The sequence below is a fragment of the Homo sapiens genome, chromosome 19 (assembly GCF_000001405.40).
Source record: "Homo sapiens chromosome 19, GRCh38.p14 Primary Assembly".
In the NCBI taxonomy this organism is placed as follows: domain Eukaryota; kingdom Metazoa; phylum Chordata; class Mammalia; order Primates; family Hominidae; genus Homo; species Homo sapiens.
Genome location: NC_000019.10, coordinates 41,907,703 through 41,928,786, shown reverse-complemented (window position 1 = coordinate 41,928,786; position 21,084 = coordinate 41,907,703). Strand labels below are relative to the sequence as shown.

Sequence of the window (21,084 nt, the reverse complement as noted above, 5' to 3'; positions counted from 1 at the left end):
GGGGTCTCTCCACCTCTCCACCCACCCCCGCCCCACCCCCACTCCCTCAGTCCCGGGATCGAACCTTATTTAGAGTCGCGATTCGACATCTGTTTTCAAATTTGATCAGCTCTGAACTTTATTTTCCGAGTTTGAGGAAAATTATATTCCATCGATCGCGCCCCCGCCCCCTCCCCCGCGCCGCCGCCGCCGCCTCCATATATCTGCGAGCCGAGCCCGGCCGGGCGGCCGCGAGGGCGGGAGGCGCGCGGCGCGCAGAGGAGTGGAGGGAGGAGGAGGAGAACGAGGAGGAGGAGGAGCAGGAGGAAGAGGAGGAAGAGGAGAAGGCGCAGGAGGCAGGGCCGCCCCGCGCCCCCAGCCGGCCAGGCTGTCCCCGGCGCGCGCCCGCCCGCGCTCGCTGTGCTGAGCTCCAGCCCGGAGCTCCGTCCTCAGCTCTCCCCGTCTCTGCTCTCTTTGCGCGTCTATCTCGCTGTCTCTCTCCCTCTCTGCATCTCCCCGTCTCTGCTCGTCTCCCCGTCTCTGTCTCCTTGGCTGTCTCTCCGTCTCTGAGTCTCTCCTGTCCCGGCGTCTCAGAGACTCCCTCTCCTCGTCCTCTGGGTCTCTGCCTCCCCGGGGCTCCGGGCATCTCCCCCCACCCCGCCCCTCGCCCCGGTGCCCCCTCCCCAGGACGCCGCGGGGGCCATGGCTGCGGGATCCGAACTTTAAACACTTCTCCCCGGACCGGAGCGGATGCGAAAAGCCCAGAAAGTGAGTGAGCGCCGCGGCCGGCGCAGGGGCGGGGAGGGGGCGGGGATTCCCGCCCCAGGAGGGGGCGGGCGCGGGGGTGGTCCCGGGAGGCCTGAGAAGCTGGGCCTCCGAGCCGGTGGAGGGGTAGGCGGATGGGGTCATCCGCCCCGGCTGTAAGGGGCAGGTGGGGCAGCGCCCAACTCTGGGAAGGTGGGAGGCGGGTAGCGCTAGAGGTGCGGCCTCGGGACAGGGGTGCGAGATTTGGGGGCGGGGAGGGAGAGCGAGTGAGAGCCACGGAGATGGGGTCTGCAAGAGACTGGACTGAAAATCTGGGAACGGGGGTTGGTGGCCGACCTGAAGGTGGATTTGGATGTTTGGGGCTGAGGAGTCTGGATATTTGGGGCTAGATTCTGAGTGGGGTTTAGAGGTCAGGGCTGAGGGCTTGCATATTTGGGACCTAGGGGCTCAAAGCCAAGAGACTGGACACTTGGGGCGGAAGATCTAGATATCTGAGGTTGGGAGCTGACTGGGGCTGGGAGTCAGGACTGGGGGTGTGGATATCTGGGACTGGGGATCAGCATAGGAGTTTGGACTTGAGGGGGCCAGAAGTCTGGATTTGGAGTTGGAGTTCAAAGCTAAGGGTCTGCGAATTTGGATCTGGATATCTGGGGTCTGGATATTTGGTATGAGGGGTCACAGGGTCTGTGGGAAGGACATTTGGGCCAATTCTGGGGTCTGCACACTTCGGGGCAAGGAGTACAGGCCTGGCCCTGACCTTCGTGGGGCCGGGGCCCTCTGGGACACCCTTTCTATCATTCCACCACTGTCGCAGGGCCCTGCTGGGCCACTTCTGTTATCTCTCCCCTGGCTGGGTCTCTCCTCACTGTCTCTCTGTCTCTGTCTCTCACAGCATCTCTGTGTCCACCTCTAACTCTCCCAGGATCTGTCTCTCTATCTCTGTCTCTCACAGCATCTCTCTCTTCCTTTTTGGGTCCAACTCTTAAGACTATCTCTCTCTAAATCTCTGTGCTTATCTCTCCCTGTGTCTCTTCCTTTCTCGGCATCTATCTCTCTCTCTTCCTTTCTCGGCATCTCTTTCTATCTCTCTCTCTCTGCCTCTTTCTGTCTCTTACTGTCTCTCTGTCTCTGTCTCTCCCAGCATCTCTGTCTCTGTCTCCCCCTCGCTGGTTTCCGCTCAGATTAAGCCGGGGACCTAATTCCAGGCCCAGGATCGAATTTTCTGGCAACAAAGGGAAATAGCGAATCGATCGGTCGCTCTGGAGATTAAGAGACAAGCGGCGCGCGGATCTATCACGGCTAAACGGCCCCCCCGCCCGCTCCCCCCTCCCGGCCGGCCGCCGCGGCCCAGACGCGCTCCGCATCGCCAAGCAGCCTCAGGGGCCCTGGCTGCCCGGCAGGCCAGCAGGCCAGGCCTCGCCTAGCCCAGAGCTAACTCTGTGCCCCACCCAGGGCCAGAGCCACGGGAGGGACCCGAGAGCCAGAACTGGCTCCCCAGGGAGGGGAGGACAGGGGAGCGAGAGAAATCGAGGTGGCAGACCATCTGGCAGAGTCACACTGCACCCACCTGTGGCCTCAGGTAACTAACCTTTCACACCTGTCTATCAATGCACCTGTCACATCCATGTTCCCCCTTCAACTCCCCAAATCTGGACTTCCAGGTAACATCTATCTCCTCATACCTGCCTGCACGCAACACCTGTCCTCCATACCTGTTCCCTTCATCTGCCCTGGAGGTAACACCTATTTCCTCTCACCTGCCCCTCCAGGTAACACTTGTCCCCCTCACACCTGCCCTTAAGATGTCTGGTCTCTCGGGGAGCATACGTCCCCTCTTACCTGCCCCTCCAGGTAATACCTGTTCTCTAAAATCTGCCCCTTCCACTGGAATCCCTGCATTTTATCTCATTTCATGTCACACTGGCCCCTTCCTACCTGTACGTGAGCCATCCCACCTGTCCCCTAAAGCTGCAAACTCACCTGTTCCTCACACATTCGTATTTCTTCACCTCTTCCTCCTCTCAAGCAGTACCGAGTCACCACACATGCACACACTCACACACACATTCCTTCTGTTGCACACAAGCACTCACACATGCAACCTGCTAACCTGTCCCCTCAGGTAAGGCCTGCCCCCACCAGTCCCCAGCCTCCTGGCCCTCACCCATCCTCCTCCGTGACAGTGTTGCACCTCCTTAACCACCCCAACACCTGCCCTTCCAGAAGAGCTGGCCACACACAGGTCACCTAAGAGCACACCTGTCGCTCACATCCCTCTCTACCTGTACCTGACTTCCAAGGTACACTGACTTCCAAGGATTCCCCCGTACCTGTCTTTCCTACTTGTCATTTCGGGTTACTCATCACAGACAACAGAAGCACCTTCCCCACCTGTGTCCTAACCCCAAGCACCACCTGATCACCAATCCACACACTAGTACCCTCCTCATGGCTTTCCCTGCCATTATGCCTTCCTCCAAGCTCTTGTCCCCTCAGAGTTTCCCGGTCCCTTGTACACTTGCTCACCTGTGTCTCACTCCTTCTTGCACTGTCTTTGCCTCTCCTGGTCTCTCACTGTCTCTCACTATACACAACATTACTTTACACACACACGTTTGGGGCAGGAGTCTGTCCTTGGCCACAGGTATCTGCGTCACCTGTATACCTGTTTTCCCACACCTGTCCCTCAGGTACTCTCTATCCACTTCTCTTCTTTCCCACATACCTAATTTCCCATGTTTCTCTCTCTCTCTTGCTGCACAAGGTCACACCAGTAACCCCCTGCACCTGCCATTCCTCACCTGTTTATCCCAGGGAATCCTCTGCCCTGGTAACACATTCAAATCATTTAATCAGCAAACAGATACCGAGGCTTCGACACCCACTATGCATACCCCCACTTAATCTCTCTTTGCTTCACATCTCTTCAGCTGGGTCTAGGGGTCACCTCCTGAAAACAGCCCTGTCCCACAGACATGCACCTGGTTCCCCACACTCCAGCCACCTCTCTCCTTTTCCTCCCCCCAAACATCCATGTGACCGGAGTCCCTTTGCACCTTTTGCAAGCATTGGGAACCCACTGCACACCTCTGCCCCATTCTCTGCTATGTTCACTTTTGATACCTGTCCCTGCAGCTTGTCACCACCACACCTTTAGGAAGAAACCTTCAGATCTCTCACACCTGTCTCCAACCTGCTTCTCTCCAGAAACACCGGTCCCCTTTCCTAGCACGTGTCTCTGACCAGCTCTCTCCTCGAGGAGCGCCTTCCTCCACGTGCATAACACCTGTAGCATGTGTTAGACACATGTGTCGCCTGTTCCCAGCCACCCCCACACCTGCTCCCCGCACTGCACAGCATCTTAAGTCCGAGGTTATCTGACTTCAATGTGCATCAGAAACACCTGGTCCAGGTATCATTCTCTGAGTAGCAGGTGCTTGTAATGTGTGCCCCACCTGTTCCACCACATAACACCTACCCTCCCCATATATACTGATGGCGACAACGAGAATGAGGATAAAGGTGAGGGTGATGGTGATGACAGCTCCCGATTACTAAGACCACCATCCATCTCTGTGACAGACACCAAGTTCTTCACACCCATTGTCTCATTTGTCCTCACAGGACCCTCATGAGGCACGTACTTGCCTCTTGTCCCCATTTTACAGAGAAGGAAACTGAGTCCAGAGAGTTTCTTTGAGGTCCCAGAAACAGGTAGATGTTAGAGATTTGAGTCAAGTCAAGGCTGTCTGACTTCAGAGACTGCCCTCCTAGCCATCCAGGTGTCCTTACCTCCCTCATCTGCCCCTCAGGTGACCTCCTCCCTCCACAGACACACCTATCCACCTAGGGACTTTGGTGACACTTGCTTCTCCATTACCTCCCAACCCCATCTCCCCTACTCTCCAGGCTCACTTTCTCACCCTTCATTGACTCCTGGGGCTAAGGCTGTCATTCCACATGCTCACCCCCACCTCCCCCACAAGCTGTTTGGGGCCAGCACAGCCCCCTCCCAGAGCACCCCCACCTCCCCAGACACACCCCCAGCACAGCCCCCTCCCAGCGCACCCCTACCTCCCCCCAGCACAGCCCCCTCCCAGCATACCCCTACCTCCCCACACACACCCCCAGCACAGCCCCTCCCAGCGCACCCCTACCACCCCCCAGCACAGCCCCCTCCCAGCACACCCCTGCCTCCCCAGACACCCCCCCAGCACAGCTCCCTCCCAACACACCCCCGCCTCCCCAGATCCACCCCCACCTCCCCAGACACACCCCCAGCACAGCCCCGTCCCAGCACACCTCCGCCTCCCCAGACACCCCCCCAGCACAGCCCCCTCCCAGCACACCCCTGCCTCCCCAGACACACTCCTGCCTCCCACACCGCCCCTCCCTGCATGCTGGCCTTTCCTTTCCACCCACCCTCACTTTCATTTCCTTTCTCCATTTCCACCTTTGCCACCACCTGCCCCTGTCTCCTTGTCCCTGTCCATGTCTGCCTGTCTTAATTCTGAGTCTCTCTGTCTCTCTTGGTTTCTGGCCTCTCGACTCCTCTGTCTCACCCTGTCTTTTTGTCTCTGTCTGTCTGTCTCCCAGTCTCTCTTTGTTCTCTGTATTTCTCTGGTTGTCTTTGTCTGTGTCTGTTTTTCTCCATACAGGGTCTTTACAGCTCTCTGACTCTCTCTCAGTTTCTCCATATCCTGGACTCTGTGTCTGTCTCCTTGTCTTGTCTCTTTCCTCCTTTTCTGTCTCTGGCCCTTGCTCTGTCCTCTGACAGTACAAATATCGGGGGCCTAGAGTCATACTGACCTGCATTCAAGTCCAGGCTCACCTCATCCCTGTGGGACTTTGGCCAAGTTACTTTTCCTGTCAGAACCTCAGTTTCCACATCTGTGAAATGGGCATCCATCATGGCAGTTCCTACCTCACAGGTGGTGGTGAGGATGGGGTGCTGAGGGAAGCAAAAGGCCTGGGTCAGAGGGGGCGCTGAACTTCCCTCTGTGGGTTCCCCCAGCCCCCTCCCGCCTCTTCCCTAGGCTGCCCCTCACATTCCCTTCACCTGGCTGTCAGTGGGAGTGAGTGTGTGCAGGGTGGAGAATGGAGGGAGAGGTGGGCAGAGGCATCCCCTCCAGCCCAGGCCTGGGCATGGGACCCGGTGTGGGGCTGGGGACAGGGATCGATCCGCCTCGGCGGCAGTGCGCGGGCCAGGATTGCATCTTGTCACAATAATTTATTGCTCTCATCCCATCTGATCGATGGCGCTGAATTAGCACCGCGCCTGATGCCCCTGGAGCCCTGAGTCCCCCCCAGCCCGGCTGGACCCCGGCCCTTGTGGGATCCCTGGTGGCCCGGCACCCAGCTCCAGCCTCAGCCCACCCAGGCCCCGCCCCTTGCCCTAGCCCTCAGGCCTGCCCCACTGCCTCTGGTCCCTCGTCCCTCGGAGTCTCTCTCCGGTTCCCAGTTCTCTGCCCCTCATGTTTGCCCTCCTGGGTCTTTGACCCCATTTCTCTGTTCCTCCTTTTCTCTAACCCTGGATCACCCACTTCTCCCCATTTTTGGCCTCAATTCCTTGTCATCCGATTCCCTGTCCCTGTGTGCTCCCGCATCTCAGTCCCATCCATCTGCCCCTCTAGCTCTCGGCTCCATCCCTATTTCCCCAGCCCTCTGACCCTGTCTCTTTGCCCTCCTCATTTCTGTCCCTTGATCTCCTGCTTTCTGTCCCTTTGATCTGCTATCTCTGTCTCCCTGATTCCCTGCTGAGCACAGTTTAATCTGGATTCCACCTCAACATAATTTCCTCAGTACACTCTTGGTGCCAAGCCCCGGGCTCTGTCGGGATGCCTGAGCCCTGGCCCTTGGTGGTTGCCGTCTAGAAGGACTCTGGGTCTCTGGGCTCCCTGAGTAGCTGGTTCTGGTGTACACCACACCCCGCTTCAGCTCTCTGCCCCCGCCCCTCCAGCATCACCAAATAACAGTCATTTCCCTGCCTTCTGTCACTCTGATAGAGGGGTGGGGCCCGATGTGGAGTGAGGCTGGGGGTGGAGGTAGAATGAAGGCAAGGGTGGGGAAGGGGTGGGAGTTGGGGATGAGGACCAGGAGGAGAGGTAGAGGATGGAGCTGGGGTCTGGGTGGGGTGGGGCCTGGTGGAGATGAGGAGGAGGAGGGGTAGGGTGGGCTTTGAAGCTGGGATGGGTCGGACTCCCAGGGGACACCAACCTCCTAGGACTGAAGAAGGGCGAGGTGGGGCGGAGGACGAGGAATCCACACCTTAGGTCTGCCCGCCACCCGGCCTACACCTGAGCCTTCCACTCCACCTCCAGGGCCGGGCTCGCCTGCATCCCTCTCCTGCCTCTGCCCTAATCCCTCAATTTTCCGCATCTCTGCCCTCTTCTCTCCTTCCTCCCAACCCAGGGTCTCCGGTGCGGCCCTCGCTCTCCCGTGACCTCCAGCTTTCTAATCTACTTTTGTCTCAGCCTCTCTGGTTCGCTCCTTCTGCCGTGTTTCCCCACCTCGGATCTCCCCCTGCCTGTCTCTCTGTCTCTGTCTCTCTCTTCTCTCTGCGTGTGCATGTGGCTCCCAGTCTGCTTCCTGTTTCTGTGGGACCTGTCCTTGTCCTCTGTGTCTCTTTCCTTCTCTGTGCCTTCCCCTGGTGGGGTTCCCCATGTCCCGCCTATCCCCCTCCATCTCCCTCCGTGTCTCACTCCTGCTTCCTCTCAGTTCTCCATGTATCACGCTCCACCCCCTCGGTCTCTCTTCCTCCCTGCATGTCTCCCCTTCTCTGTGCCCCCCACCCCAACCTCCAGTTCCTCCATCTCTCTGGGTCTCTGAGGGGAGGCGGGGTCCACGAGTGAGGTTGGGGAGCAGCCAGACCTCCCTCCGCCTCGCCTCACGGTGGCGCCTCCACCCTCCCTCTCCCCTCCCCCAGAGCTGTTTGGTAGGCGGGGTGCGTGGCACTGCGGCTCCCACCTCCCCGGGGACGCTCCCTCGCCACCCCTCAACTGACACCATTCGGAGCGCTGCTGTCCGCAGCCCCAGGGACATCGTGCGGAGACTGAGACTCAGGGAGAGAGACAGAGATGCAGAGACACACACACAGGGCCGGAGGCAGAGACAGAGACAGAGAGGGAGAGACAGAGGGAGGGGGGTGTGGGTCTCCACCCCTGCCCCACCCACAGGCCTCTCTGTCTCTGGCCTGGAGCCTCCCCACCTCTCAAGCGAGGGTAGCAGACACACCTTCCCCAGCCTGGGAATCCACTGCCCTGTCTGCCATTCTGTCCCTCTGTGTGTCCTGCACAGTGCAGTCGAGGCAGAAGACCGAGTGTGTGTGTGCGCATGTGCACATGACTGTGTGACTTGTGTCACAGTGTCTGTGAATGTGATCTGTGTAGACATGCGTGCTCCTGGGCACAGGTGACTAAGTATGGGTGCTGAGTGGAGCCACACATGTCCTGTCTGTGAGTGCATCACGTCTGTGAGTGCGTAACATCTGGGCGTGTCCTGTCTGTGAGTGCATCATGTCTGTGAGCGTGTCATGTCTGAGTGCGTCATGTCTGTGTGTCACGTCTGTGAGTTCATCATGTCTGGGCGTGTCATGTCTGTGAGCGTGTCATGTCTGTGAGTGTGTCATGTCTGTGAGTGTGTCACATCTGGGCATGTCATGTCTGTGAACATGTCATGTCTGTGCGTCACGTCTGAGTGCATCACGTCTGAGTGTGTCACGTCTGGGCATGTCATGTCTGTGAGCGCATGTCTGTGAGCGTTATCATGTCTGTGAGCATGTCATGTCTGTGCCTCACGTCTGAGCACGTCACGTCTGAGTGTCACGTCTGGGCATGTCATGTCTGTGAGCGCATGTCTGTGAGCGTGTCATGTCTGAGTGCATCATGTCTGGGCGTGTCATGTCTGTGAGCGCATGTGTGAGCGTGTCATGTCTGTGAGTGTATGTCTGTGAGCGTGTCATGTCTGTGAGTGTGTCACATCTGGGTGTGTCATGTCTGTGAGCGTATCATGTCTGTGAGCGCGTCATGTCTGTGAGTTCGTCATGTCTGGGTGTGTCACGTCTGTGGGCGTGTCATGTCTGTGAGTTCGTCACGTCTGGGCGTATCATGTCTGTGAGCGTGTCATGTCTGTGTGACGTGTGTGGTGCTCAGCTGCGTCTGGTGTGACCGTCCAAAGCTCTGGAGTTGTGCCATGTCTGGTGTTTTCACATGGTGTGGCTGTGCAGGGTAGGCCTCAGGGACCTGGGGCAGTTATCTCTGAGGGCAAGATGAGGAGGCTCAGTCCCAGAGAAACAGGGTGGAAGGACCAAGTGAGTGCGACCCTGAGAGGACCCCGGCAGCTGGGCTGGTGAGTGTGGGTGTGAAGGACGCAGCTGAGGAAGAGCCCCCAAAATCTTGTGTGTCACAGACCAGCTGTGTGTTTGTGTGGCGCTGTGTTGGTGTTCGGGGGTTGCTGTTGTGTCTCTGAGCTTGTGGGCTTGTGTCTGAGTCTGGGTTCAGATGTGGACGTGTGTGTGTGTGTGTGTGTGTGTACGCGTGCACGTGCACACGTGGGTGGTAATTTGTAGGAGCTGAATGTACCAGCTTGAGTGTTGGTTCATAACAATTGAGTGATACTGTGTGTCCAGCCCTAAAGAGCACTGATGACTGTTTGTGTATGTTTGATTGTGTATGTTTGTGTGGTTGCATGTTTATGTGTGGCTGTTGGATGGCGCATGTGTCTGCAACTTCTGTGAACTTGTGCCGAAGTCTGTGTGTGAAGCTGTTTCTGGTGTCACCCTGTGTGCTTCTGTGTGTTTTCTGTGGGTCTGTGTGTTAAGGATGACTGGTTTTGTGTGTGTCCATGTGGGGATTACAAGGTGTGGTATTGAGAGTAGTAAGCTGCGAGTGGTGTGTGAGTGTGGTGTGTGGTATGTGGGTGATGTGTGTGGTATGTGTGTTATGTGTGGCATGTGGTGTGGTGTAATGTGTGTGGGTGTGTGTATGCAGTGTTGTGTATGTGGTGTGATGTATAGTGTCTGTGGCATGGTGTGTATGTGATGTGTGTGGTGTATATGCGGTGTGTGTGTGTGTGGTGTGTGGTGTGCATGTGTGTATGGTGAGTAGTGTATGTGGTGTGCATGTGTGTGTGGTGTATGTGTGTAATGGGTAGTGTATGTGGTGTGTGTGGATATGTGGTGTGTGGTGTGTCTGATGGGTAGTGTAGCATGTGTGGCGTATGTGAGAGTGATGTGGTGTGTGTGTATGGTGTGTATGCAGTGTGTGGTATGTGTGTGGTAGATGTATATGTGGTGTGTGTATGTGTGGGGTGGTGTGTGGTGTGTACGTGGTGTGTGTGGTGTGTGGCGGATATGTGGTGTGTGTGGTGTGTCTGTGATGGGTAGTGTATGTACTGTGTGTGGTGTATGTGAGGGTTAGTGATGTGGTGTGTGTGGTTTGTCTGTGATGGGTAGTGTATGTACTGTGTGTGGTGTATGTGAGGGTTAGTGATGTGTGTGTGTATGGTGAGTGTATGGTGTGTGTGTGATGTGTGTGGTGTGTGTGTGATGTGTGTGTGGTGTGCGTGGTGCGTGTGTGGTGTGTAGGTGGTGCATGTGTGGTGTATTTATGTGTGTGTGTGATATGTGTGTGGTGTGTGTGATATGGTATGTGTATGTGGTGTATGTGTGGTGTGTGTGGTATGGTGTGTGTATGGTGTATGTGGTGTGTACCGTGTGTGTGTATGTGGTGTGTGGGGCTAGGTGTGTCTGTGGTGTATGTGGTGGGTATGTGTGTGGTGGGGGTGTGTATGTATGGTGTGTTTGTGGTGTGTATATGTGGTATGTGTGGTGTATATGTGGCGTATACATGTGGGGTATGTGTACACCCCAGGCACAAAGGCACCCCCAACCAGGGTCAGGCCAGAGCATTTGATGTGGGCAGTGTGGGAATGGGGGTGGCGTCCGGGATGGGGGGGCATGCCCATGCAGGAAACCCCACATCACCCCTGAACCCCCTCCTCTCCAAGACAGGCACAGGGTCTCCTGGTGCCTGTCGAGGGCCGGCCCCTGAGCCTGCTCTGTGTACACATGGACGTGGCTATAGTCTGGACGGACAGGTGTGTGAGCACACACACACACAGTGTGTGACCGCGGGGAGCTGGCTTCGTGCACCCAGATGGGACAGGGTGTTGGGGGCTCGTTTGTGTGGCAACAGATGGGTGGGGCTGGCAGCCGTCCCATGGCTGGGGCTGTGCATGGTGTGTGTGTGCCTACTAGTGGGTGTCACTGTGGGTCTCTACTGTGTGCACAGATGTGTCCTACATGGGCGTGTGGCGTAAGGAGAGATATGTCCCCAGATTGTGCCTGAACGTGTGGCCATGGGTGGGTGCAGTCAGGGTGTGTGTGTGCGTGCGTGCGTGTGCTTTGGGGCATGGTGTGTGCATGCGGGGGCGGCGGTGGCAGAAGGGTCTTAGGCCGCGTCTCTCTCCTCTTTAGACAGAGCCCCGGAGAAGATATGAAATTTAAAAAAAAAATCAATTTTCATTCCGATTGTGCAGATTGTGTTAAGGGGAGGTGGGGATGGGGGGGCCTGGGTGAGGGATGAAGGGGCTGGTGGTGGGGGTGCGAGGCCCGAGGCGGCTCCCGAGGCGGCCGGCGCAGCTTAGAGAAATCAAAACAACTGGTTAAACCCCAGCCCAGGGGGGCGTGGTGATGGGGCGTTAGGAGACAGAGGCAGAGAGAGATGACAGAGAGCTCAGAGACAGAGAGGGACAGAGACAGAGAGAGACAGAGAGATGCACCCAGAGAGAGAGATGGGGGAAACAGAGACACTCAGAGATGGAGATATTTAGAAAGACAGGCAGGCCAAGATGAGCAGAAAAGACCCTCTCTGACAGAGACAGACAGAGACCCTCAGTGACAGAGACAGACAGAAAGATGCGCCGACACCCGAAGGGGCTGAGAGAGACCGAGAGACCTGTGTCTCGAGAGGCAGTCACAGAAGCAGGTCTGAGACAAGGGCACGTGTCACATATGTGCACACACACACACACACCCATGCAGAGACATGCTTGGGAAGTTCACAGATGGAGGGACAGGCAGACAGATGGGGATGGTGGGAGCAGGAGTGGCAGGGGCCTTGGGTTGGGGTCATCTCTGAGTGCCCACCCCTACCCAGTGTGTCTGGGTGTGTCTGTGTGTACCTCTGCAGGGGCCGCTGTCGGTCGTATGTTTGGGTCCGTGATCTTGGTGTGTGTGTGTGATTGTGACTGTGTCTGTGAATGGGTGTGTGTGTGGCCGTGTGCGTTGGCTGTCTGGGTTGGTGCTGGTGTGTGTATCTCTACGGCTCCATGCGTGACCAAGTGCATATGTATGCGCTCGAGGGTCGGTGGTGCTTGGTTGTGTGACTGTGTGTCTGTTTCTGTGTGCTGTTGTCTCAGTGTGCGATTGTGTGCTTGGGAATCTGGGTTTCTGTATTTGATTGTGAGCCTCAGTGTGTGATTATGTGTTTACACAGTGTGTCTAGGATTTGTGATTTTGTGTCTTTGTTTCTGTGTGAGATTGAATTGATGTGTCATGTGTGTATTTGTGTAAAACTGTGTGTCTGTTTCTGTGCATCTGTGACTATGCTGATGTGTGTGTGTGTGACTGTGACAGTGTTGGTGTGTGACTTTACTGACACATGCATCTGTGTGATGTGGGTTGTGTGTGGCAGCAGTGGTATGCGTTGCTTTGTTGGTGTGTGTGATGTGTTGTGTGGGACGTGGTGCTGTGTGTGACTTTGTTGACATGTGGGCTCATGCAGTGTGTGGTATGTGATGGTGTGTGTGTGGCTGTGCTGGTGTGTGCATCTGTGCGATGTGTGCTGTGTGGGACGTGGTGGTGTGCGTGCCTGGGTTGGTGTGTGGGTCTGTGTGGTTGTGCTTGGCAGGGAGAGAAGGGAGGAGGGCCCTCGCCTGCCCAGCGCCTCTGCACACCGCTTCGCTCACATGCGCACACACATTCGGTGCCATGGCTGCGGGCGGTAGAGATGGGGGGCGAAGGGGGGGTGGAGGAAGCAAAATAAAATTAAAAATTAAAGCTTGCCTGGAGTACCCATCCGCACCACGCCGGCCGGCGGGGGGGAGGGGGGTGGGGGATTGTGGCTGCTCCCCATCCACAGCCACTGGGGCTGGGGCCGTTTGTCCATCTGTCCGGCCGTCCTGCCAGGCCCTGTTTGGCCCTGCAGCCCCAGGCCCCGCAGGCCGCGCTCCCTCCATCAGTCGATCAGCGATCAATGGGGCCAGGGGGGCGCCAGGGGCAGGGTGAGATCAAAGGGACCCCAAGAGACGGACACCGGGACAGAAACAGAGACAGAGACATAGAGACATGGAGATGGAGACATGGAGACAGAGACACAGAGACAGGGAGATGGGGCATGGAGACAGAGACAGATGAGACAGAGATGGGGGACATGGGGACAGGACAGGGACTTGAGGAGGAGGAGATATGGAGATGTGGAGACGGAGACAGGGGTGTGGAGACCCTAGACATTAAAACAGAGCCATGTGGAGACCCAGAGACATGGGGACACAGAGACGTGGGGACACAGAAGTGGAGACGACGTGGGAACCAAGAGACAGGGAGGCATGGAGACCCAGAGATGGGAGGGACGGACAGACGGACGGGGACAGGGCGGCAGAGGCGATGGGCAAGGGCGAGGGGTCCAGGTCCCTGTGGGGCCTGACACAGGACGAAGGCTGGGCACAGAGACTGCGAGATGGCAGAGACGCGTGTGAGACACGGCGGGGGGAGCGTGGGAGCAGGGCCCGGAGCGCCGATCCCACGGCTCCTCGTTATAACGTGTCCGGAGGAGGCGGCGGGGAGTTGAAAGCGTCGGGAAGAGAAATCAAAACCAACACGGAAATGAGAGGGGCCAATAGGGGGTGGGGGCGGGGGGAGGAAGGAGGGGGACCCTGAGAGGCAAAGAGAGCGGGAGGTGGGAGAGCGATGGGTGGGGGAGAGGTGTGGGGGAGCGGGGCTGCTGGAGAGACGCGGGACAGGGACACGGTGGGGGCAGAGACAGGAGAGACAGAGATGCTGGAGGGGGAGGGAGGGAGAGACAGAGATAGTGGAAGAGGAGGGAGAGACAGAGACGGAGATGGTGGAGGGGGAGGGAGAGACAGAGACAGAGATGATGGAGGGGAGGGAGAGACAGAGATGGTGGAGGGGGGGAGAGACAGAGACGGTGGAAAGGGGGGGAGACACGGTGGAGGGGGAGGGAGAGACAGAGACGGTGGAAGGGGAGGGAGAGACAGAGACGGTGGAAGGGGAGGGAGAGACAGAGATGGTGGAAGGGGAGGGAGAGACAGAGATGGTGGAAGGGGAGGGAGAGACAGAGATGGTGGAAGGGGAGGGAGAGACAGAGATGGTGGAAAGGGAGGGAGAGACAGAGACAGAGATGGTGGAAGGGGAGGGAGAGACAGAGATGGTGGAAAGGGAGGGAGAGACGGAGACAGAGATGGTGGAAGGGGAGGGAAAGACGGATAGCAGAGATGGGGAGAAAGTCATAGGGAGACAGAGATGGACACACTGGGAAGATGGAGAGACAGATGGAGAAGAAGCAGGGGTGAGAGATGGAGAAACAGGGAAGAGACTGAGGGGTGGAGGAGGAGATGGAGACGAGAGGGAGAGGGCAGTGAGGTGGGGAGAGAGACCCCCTTGGTGGAGGAGAGAGACAGAAATGGAAGGGAGATGGTGGGGGGAGACGGAAGGGAGAAGAGACCAAGTGACCGGAGAGACAGAGATGGAGAGGGAGAGATACCGAGACGGGGCAGATGGAGAAAGACGGGGAGACAGGTGTGGGAACAGAGGGGGCCTGGGACAGGGGAGGCTCCAGGAGGCAGATGGGAGGTGGGGGCATCTGAGGTTGGGGCCTCTGTGGGGAGACCGGGCGAGTCTGAGGGGACATGGGGTGTCTGAAAAGTTTTGTCCAGTGTCCAGGGGTAGGCGGGGCTCACGGGGGAACACAGTGTGGGCTGCCAGGGTCTGAGGGGTTTCTGGCTGGGGGGCGCATGGGAGCAGTGGGGAGTATCAGGGTGTCTAAGAGGAGTGGGTTTTTGAGAGCGTCTGGGGGGTCTCCAGGAAGAAGGTGCTCCAGAGGTGGGGTGTGAGGGTGGCAGTGAGGGGCTGAAGTGCCTGAGGGGAGGGGTCTCGGGAGCGCGAGGGCAGCGTGTGTCTGCGGAGGGGTGTGAGAGGGAGTGGATTGCAAGGGTGTGTGTGTGGAGGGGAGGCGCCATAAGAGGGGGAAAGGTGCGGGGAGACTGGAGTGAGGAGGGGATGGAGTATCTTAGGGGCGTAAGATATCTAGGGAGAGGGAGTGTCTGAGGGAGGGGGTCTGACAGGGGAGGCAGATGTGAGGGGAAGGGGTGTCTGAGGAGGGAGGCAGATCCAAGTGACAGGGGTCTTCAGGGTGAGCAGCAGGTCTAGGGTCTGTGGAGGCCTCCTGCAGGGCGCTGGGGGCTGCCCTGTGGGGTAGAGGACTGGAGGAGGGGGTGCTGGGCCTGCCCCCCTGCAGCCCGTCCTGGGCGGCTGCGGGTCAGGGCTGCGCCTGGGCTGGAAGAGCCCGCCTGGGGGTCGTCCGGGTGGGGCGGGTGTGGGGGCAAGTTATAGAACAAGATAAATCTGGGGCAGCCAGAGAGAGAGACAGAGGGAGACCCAGAGACGCAGGGACCGACCGACCCGGGAGGTCAGGCGGGAGAGCGGGGACGGGAGACGGCAGCAGAGACGGTGCGGGGCGCGAGCGGCGGGCGGGCGGGCGGGCGTGAGAGCCAGCGAGTGTGAGAGCGTGAGCGAGTGGCGGGGAGCGGGGAGGGAGGCTGGGAGCGGCGTAGTTAGTGATGGAGGCACCGAGTGAGGAGGAGGCTGCGGGAGGAGAGGCTGGGAGGGAAGGAACGGGGTCTCGGGGCCGGGAACGGCTGGGGACAGAGCGGTGCCTGCGGGAGGGAGTGGGCAGGAGGGATTGCGGGGAGAGGGTGTCAGGCTGGGGTGGGGACCTGGGAGAGGGGAAGGCCCCGGGCAGCGCCCCGCTGGCTGACCTGTGTCTGTCTCTCCTGCCCACCCCGTCCCCGTGTGTCCCTCCCGGCCTCTGCAGGGCCGGCTCCGCCATGGACTGTAGCTGCGTCTCCGACCTTCTCTTCGCCCCGCCCGCCCTGCCGGCTCTCTGGACCCCCGGTAACTGGCCCGGACCTCCCCCACCCCTTCCCCCACCCCTCAGGCTTCCCCAGTGAGCCGCATCCCCCTTCTCTCCGTGTCTCCACGTGTCTCACTCTAGTCCGTGGGTCCTTCTCTCTCAGTCTTGGTCAGTCCCCCAAATCAAACCCCTTCTGAGAAACTTGGCTAAAAACTTCGCAGCCAGATTCCCCTGCCCCCTGCGTGCTGGGGGGATAGGTGGGTCTTCTGGGAGGGTACGGAAGTGAGTGAGGGGTGAGGACGGAGGGGCCCGAGGCCCGGGCATCCCTGCCACGCACGTCTCAGCCTGCTCCCACGCAGGACCTGCGGGGAAAAGAGAGCAGGGACTGGGCTGGAGGGGGCACTAGGCCAGGCACGGATGGACAGGTAGACAGACGGCACTGCCCAGTCAGGGGTACGTGCAGGCACGACCCGGCCAGACCGAGACCCAGGAAAGAGGACAGCTTGCAACCGGGGTTGGTGGACGGTGAAGCTGGTCAGACACCATGCTGATGTGCAGCGGGAGGGGTGTGTGTGTGTGTGAGAGACAGACAGAGACTCTGTCCTTGGTTATTTGGGGTCTCATTTCAGTGTGTCCCTGTGTCACACTTCAGTGTTTCTAGAAGGGGTCACACTGGGAGAATGTGTCTGCACAGCCTGTCTTTGTGTGAGCTTGTGTATTTGCTTGTACGTGCACATCTGAGGCTACTTGAGTGTCTCTGGGCTGGGCGTGTCCGCATTTTGGGATGGGGGCGTCTGCCAGCTCTCCGACTGTGCCTCTGCCTGAGTGGGGTGAGGAGCCTTTGCCTGTTTCTTGCGGTCTGTCTCGGGTTGTGTGGCGTTCCGCATGGCTGTCTTGGTGCATTTGGGGCTGTGGGGGGGATGCATCCCTGGGCCTCTGTGTTGGGGGCTGTGTCTGGTTTTCAGCGTAGGGTCCATGTGCACATGAGTGAATTCTGGGGGTTTGTCTGTCACATGTGTGTGTCTGCCTACTGAGTTTGGGGGTCCTCTCTCTAGCTGTGCCTGTGCCTCATAGGTACAACATATTTGAGGGTGTGCATTTGAGGACAGATGGAGTATCGGGTTGGGTGTCCTCTTGTCACCTTGGGGTCCTGTGGGTGTGTCTGTGATACAGTTGCCTCCCCAGTAGGATGTGTTCTGGGTGTGGAATGGGTCAGAGCTGGAGTCTGGATCCAGCCCTGTCATGGGAGGTGAGAAAGACCCAAAAATGAATGGAGATAAAAATTCTCCCTCAAGGAGACTGCCTGGAGCTCCCCGGCCTTCAGGCCGGGAGGCACAAGCACCCACTTTTCTACACCAGGCAGCCTGGGTGGGACCCTGCGCCCCCTTGCCTTCCACCTGTGCAGTTCTAAACCAGAGAGGGTAAGGACCTGCCCGTAATCACACAGCAAGTGGACACGGCGATGCTGGTCTCCCCTGCCCTGGCGCACAGCAGTCTCCTCTCTCCTGCACTGCTGCCAGCTTTTTATGGACTCACTCTGCCTTCTATTTTCATGCCTGGGTCTGGGGTCTCTGAGGAGGGGGAAGGGGACAGAGGATGTGGCATAAGAGTGAACACAGAAGTTGGACCCAGGGCTTGGGGCCTTCTGCATGGGAGATGAGATTTCGGGGTGCCCAGCTCCTGGGGGTATGTGGACAGTGGAGTACTCCCCTCTGCATGTGAGACGTGATGCTGAGTGAGCCGGGGGTGTCAGTGCTGACATGTGGGTGCCTCTGTGTGCAGGTTTGGGAAGTTGCTCTACTGACATGCTGTCACCCTGTGTGTCTGGGGACATGGATATCTTGGTGCTGTGTTCACCGTCTCCATCGTACAGTGTGTTCTTTGGGCATTTGGGGTCCTGTGTGTGTCTTGTCAGGCATTTGTGTTGTTAGTAAGTCCCAGTCTTGAGATGTGTAATTCTGTGTTGTGATGGGTGTGCACTGTGGGGTTGTTGAGATGACGTGACCTTGAGTCTTGCGCAGCCTGTGTCTGCCATGTCAGCCTTGGTGGCCCCCAGCATGAGTGTGGCACTCCGGTGTGCCTGTGTCCCAGTGTGGCTGTGTGTCTCAGGCAAGTGAACTGATGTCTGTGTGACATGTCTTCCGTGGGCATGTGTGTGTCCACGCACACACACACATCGTTCTGGACTGCTCTTGGACGGACATGGGCATGGATATGGGGTGGAGGGGACACAGGGACGGGAAAGGTACAAATACACAGGCAGGTACAGACATGCACAGAGCTGCAGCCTGGATATGCCAGGATGGGTCAGTGGGGGGCTCTGGGGAATGTCGAAAGGTGGAGCAGGGGACAGGGAATGGGGAACAGAGACAGTAAGAGCTGAGGGCACCGCAGGGTACAAGAGACTAGAGACCTCCTAGGGCTGGCTGGGGGCAGTGAGAGGACTAACGCTGTTGGAGGCGGGTGCCCCTCCCCATTCCTCCTCACTGTCATGGGTGCAGGAAGCCAGTCCCTCCCAACTCCACCTCTGGATGCTGAGCCTGGGGGAGCTATGCCAAGGTAGGGGATCAGACTGGTACCAACCCAGGGTCCCTGGATGACTGGGTTCTTGCCCTTATTTGGGTAATTTGGGGACCAGACACAAAGGGAGGAGGTTTGGAGTGTGGAAACCAGGTCCCTAAAGATGCCTGAGACTGGAGGAGAACTACATGCCTCCCAGGTTACTGAGTCCAGCAGGACCCAGAGCCCTGGACTTGGCATCCTGACCCCAGGCCACTCCCTGCCTCCCGTCCCCAGGGTTTGCCTTCCCGGATTGGGCCTACAAGCCAGAGTCATCCCCTGGCTCGAGGCAGATCCAGCTGTGGCACTTTATCCTGGAGCTGCTGCAGAAGGAGGAGTACCAGGGCGTCATAGCCTGGCAGGGGGACTACGGGGAATTCGTCATCAAAGACCCCGATGAGGTGGCCCGGCTGTGGGGTATTCGCAAATGCAAGCCCCACATGAATTACGACAAGCTGAGCCGGGCCCTGCGGTGAGGAAGGGCTTGGGGCTGGATCCCACCTTGTCCTTTTCCCCCAACTGTCCCTCTGGTGCCCCCTCTGCATCCTGGGGCAGGTTCCTGCTGGATCCCACAAGGCACAGGGCTGTGCGTGAGTAGCCACCATCGCTACTTGTGAGTGGAAGGGAGGCGAGGAGGAGGGACCCCTAAACCTGGGCTTTGGAGTCTTGCAGGGCAGGGTCCCCGCTCCTGCCTCATCCCTTCCTTGCCCTGTGATCCCTATTAAGGGACTTCTGTGAGCCTCAGTTTCCCCAAGTTCTAGTGCTCTGTGCACCATGCCTGGGACAGCACACGCATTAAGAAACCCCAGATCCCGCCCCAGGGCTCCCCCTGCACCTCCCCAACACCACCACTCTCCCCACAGTTACTACTACAACAAGCGGATTCTCCACAAGACCAAAGGGAAGAGGTTCACCTACAAGTTCAACTTCAGCAAAGTCGTGCTTGTCAATTACCCGCTGCTGGACATGGCGGCAGCTGCCACTGGCTCCCCACTCTTGCTGACCCCCAGTCCCTTTGGGGGGGCCCCAGGGCCAGATGCTCCTCCCCTCACCCCTGAGGTGAGTCTGGGTACTGGGGTCCTGGAACCGAGGCACTTGGTGCCCACTCTGGGGAGGGGACAGTCTGAGAAGGGCGGCTTCTCCCACTCCCTCTCTAGACCCTGCAAACCCTGTTCTCTGCCCCACGCCTGGGAGAGCCAGGGGCCCGGACACCCCTGTTCACCTCCGAGACAGATAAATTGCGTCTGGACAGCCCTTTCCCATTCCTGGGCTCTGGTAAGAGCCTGGAGGTTCTGGGGTGCTGGGGGCACAGTGGGAGAAGCTGCAGGCTTGAGGGAAGAGGATGAGAAAAGACAAGAGAAGAGATGGGGAAGGGGGCCCAGGGCCAGGTTGTAGGGTGTGTGTGTGTAAAACCCAGAAAAGGATGTGATGTGAGGGAGGGGAAATGAGGGAGACAGGGGCTTTCAGGGGTGCCTAAGGAATGGGAAGACAAGTGGGGGAGTGGGAGGAGATGGAGTTGGGGGAAGCTGTATGAGGGGGTAAGATGCCATGTAGGAGGGATGCGGGGAGATGGGGTGGGATATGGCAGGGAGGCAGCCCCCTTTACTGGTCCCCAGGCAGGCAGGTGCCCCAGCCTGACCTACCCCTGTGCCCCCCAGGTGCCACCAGCTATTCCAAGCCCCCTGGCCTGCTGGGTCCTTATGGCCGCGCCTTCCCTGAGTACCCCTGGAACTTTAACCCGTACCTCACGGGCCCCTTCCCCAAGCTGCCTCCCTCTCTCTACCCCCCGCATTTCTACCCCAACCCTCTGGCCAGTTCCCTGGGCCACCTGCCCTCGTCAGGGGCAGGGGGAGGCCCCACAGCCACGCCCCTGCTGGCCTCGACAGGGGAGGGCCTGGGCCCCGAGCGCCCCTCGGGCCTGGCAGCGGCCCCTCGCCTGGCGCTGCCAGGGGCTGGGGGTCCAGAGGCTGCCCTTGGTGGGAAGGAGGACAGCGACTCGGAGCTGGAGATCACCGACGTCAGCGGCTGCAGCTCTGACAGCGAGGGCGATGAGGGTCTCCCGGCACCCCCCAAGGCAAAGGCGGGCAAAGGGGGGACCGGCAGCTGAGCCGGCAGGGGGCAATGGATTCTGCTGAGGCAGGGACCAGGGTGGCTGCCCGTCTGCCCTTGATGCCTGGCCCAAGGCCCAGGACCAGCCCTCAGCACCTCCCAGGTCTGGGCACATTGCTGCCCCAGTCTCCTTCCCCAGCCCCAGAGTGGGGGGGGTCTCACTTCCCCCTCCACAGAGGACAGAGGGAATGTGATGGCCTCCGGCCTCCTCCCCAGGCTCCAGTTTGAGGGGGGTCCCCGCCTGGCCCCACTCCCAAAGTGCAATATGGCGCCCAGCCTGCCCCGCCCGCCCACCCCTGTGCTATGCCCCAAGTGTTTGTGTGGCCGTGTCTCCAAACCCCCTGTGCTGGCCCCAGTCCTGACACCCCCCCCATATAGGCCCCCCTGGGGACAGGGAGCTCAGAGCAATAACCCCGCCCCCAGCCCCCACCCAGGAGGGGCCCCCCTCCCCACCAGCTCCCCATGATCCCAACAGTCACCTCCAGAGAGTTTACTACAGAAATAAAAGAACAGAGAGTGAGAC

At 58.9% G+C, this 21,084-nt stretch overlaps 2 protein-coding genes across 7 annotated transcripts in view, besides 3 other annotated features; one reads left to right on the top strand and one right to left on the bottom strand.

Moving 5' to 3' along the window:
* Positions 1-21,084, bottom strand: part of ARHGEF1 (Rho guanine nucleotide exchange factor 1) — a 46,958-nt gene that overhangs the window by 1,355 nt on the left and 24,519 nt on the right. For 3 of the 6 annotated variants that reach the window (NR_173096.1, NR_135626.2, NR_173095.1), the window contains exon 1: positions 65-281. Coding sequence is in view for 2 of the 6 variants with exons in the window: in NM_001396003.1 (NP_001382932.1) it covers positions 5,554-5,695 (142 nt within the window). In the remaining 4 variants the exon portion in view is untranslated. Of the gene's footprint in view, positions 1-64; positions 282-5,553; positions 5,696-21,084 lie in introns of those variants that run through there. The other 3 variants (NM_001396003.1, NM_001396002.1, NR_173092.1) reach the window with 2 other exon arrangements.
* Positions 213-392: a silencer, noted in NCBI's record as "silent region_10676". NCBI's record gives its function as "represses an Ori minimal core promoter by ATAC-STARR-seq in GM12878 lymphoblastoid cells {active_cell/tissue: GM12878}" and the evidence as "EXISTENCE:reporter gene assay evidence [ECO:0000049][PMID:35858748]".
* ERFL (ETS repressor factor like) lies at positions 338-21,083 on the top strand. The gene is made up of 6 exons (NM_001365103.2): positions 338-747; positions 15,855-15,934; positions 18,690-18,924; positions 19,316-19,511; positions 19,610-19,727; positions 20,111-21,083. The coding sequence occupies exons 2-6, from the start codon at positions 15,868-15,870 to the stop codon at positions 20,557-20,559; spliced, it is 1,065 nt and encodes a 354-aa protein (NP_001352032.1). The 5' UTR covers positions 338-747; positions 15,855-15,867; the 3' UTR covers positions 20,560-21,083.
* Positions 6,091-6,718: an enhancer, noted in NCBI's record as "NANOG-H3K27ac-H3K4me1 hESC enhancer chr19:42426221-42426848 (GRCh37/hg19 assembly coordinates)". NCBI's record gives its function as "activates a minimal SCP1, AML or CMV promoter by ChIP-STARR-seq in naive H9 embryonic stem cells {active_cell/tissue: H9 hESC(naive)}" and the evidence as "EXISTENCE:reporter gene assay evidence [ECO:0000049][PMID:30033119]".
* Positions 7,662-8,343: an enhancer, noted in NCBI's record as "H3K4me1 hESC enhancer chr19:42424596-42425277 (GRCh37/hg19 assembly coordinates)". NCBI's record gives its function as "activates a minimal SCP1, AML or CMV promoter by ChIP-STARR-seq in naive H9 embryonic stem cells {active_cell/tissue: H9 hESC(naive)}" and the evidence as "EXISTENCE:reporter gene assay evidence [ECO:0000049][PMID:30033119]".

Bases quoted from the DNA above. Each gene is read 5' to 3' on its own strand.
- ERFL (NM_001365103.2), top strand. From the start codon at position 15,868: ATGGACTGTAGCTGCGTCTCCGACCTTCTCTTCGCCCCGCCCGCCCTG. The intron at 19,512-19,609 runs GTGAGTCTGGGT...CTCCCTCTCTAG, and splicing joins CTCCTCCCCTCACCCCTGAG to ACCCTGCAAACCCTGTTCTC. The intron at 19,728-20,110 runs GTAAGAGCCTGG...TGTGCCCCCCAG, and splicing joins TTTCCCATTCCTGGGCTCTG to GTGCCACCAGCTATTCCAAG.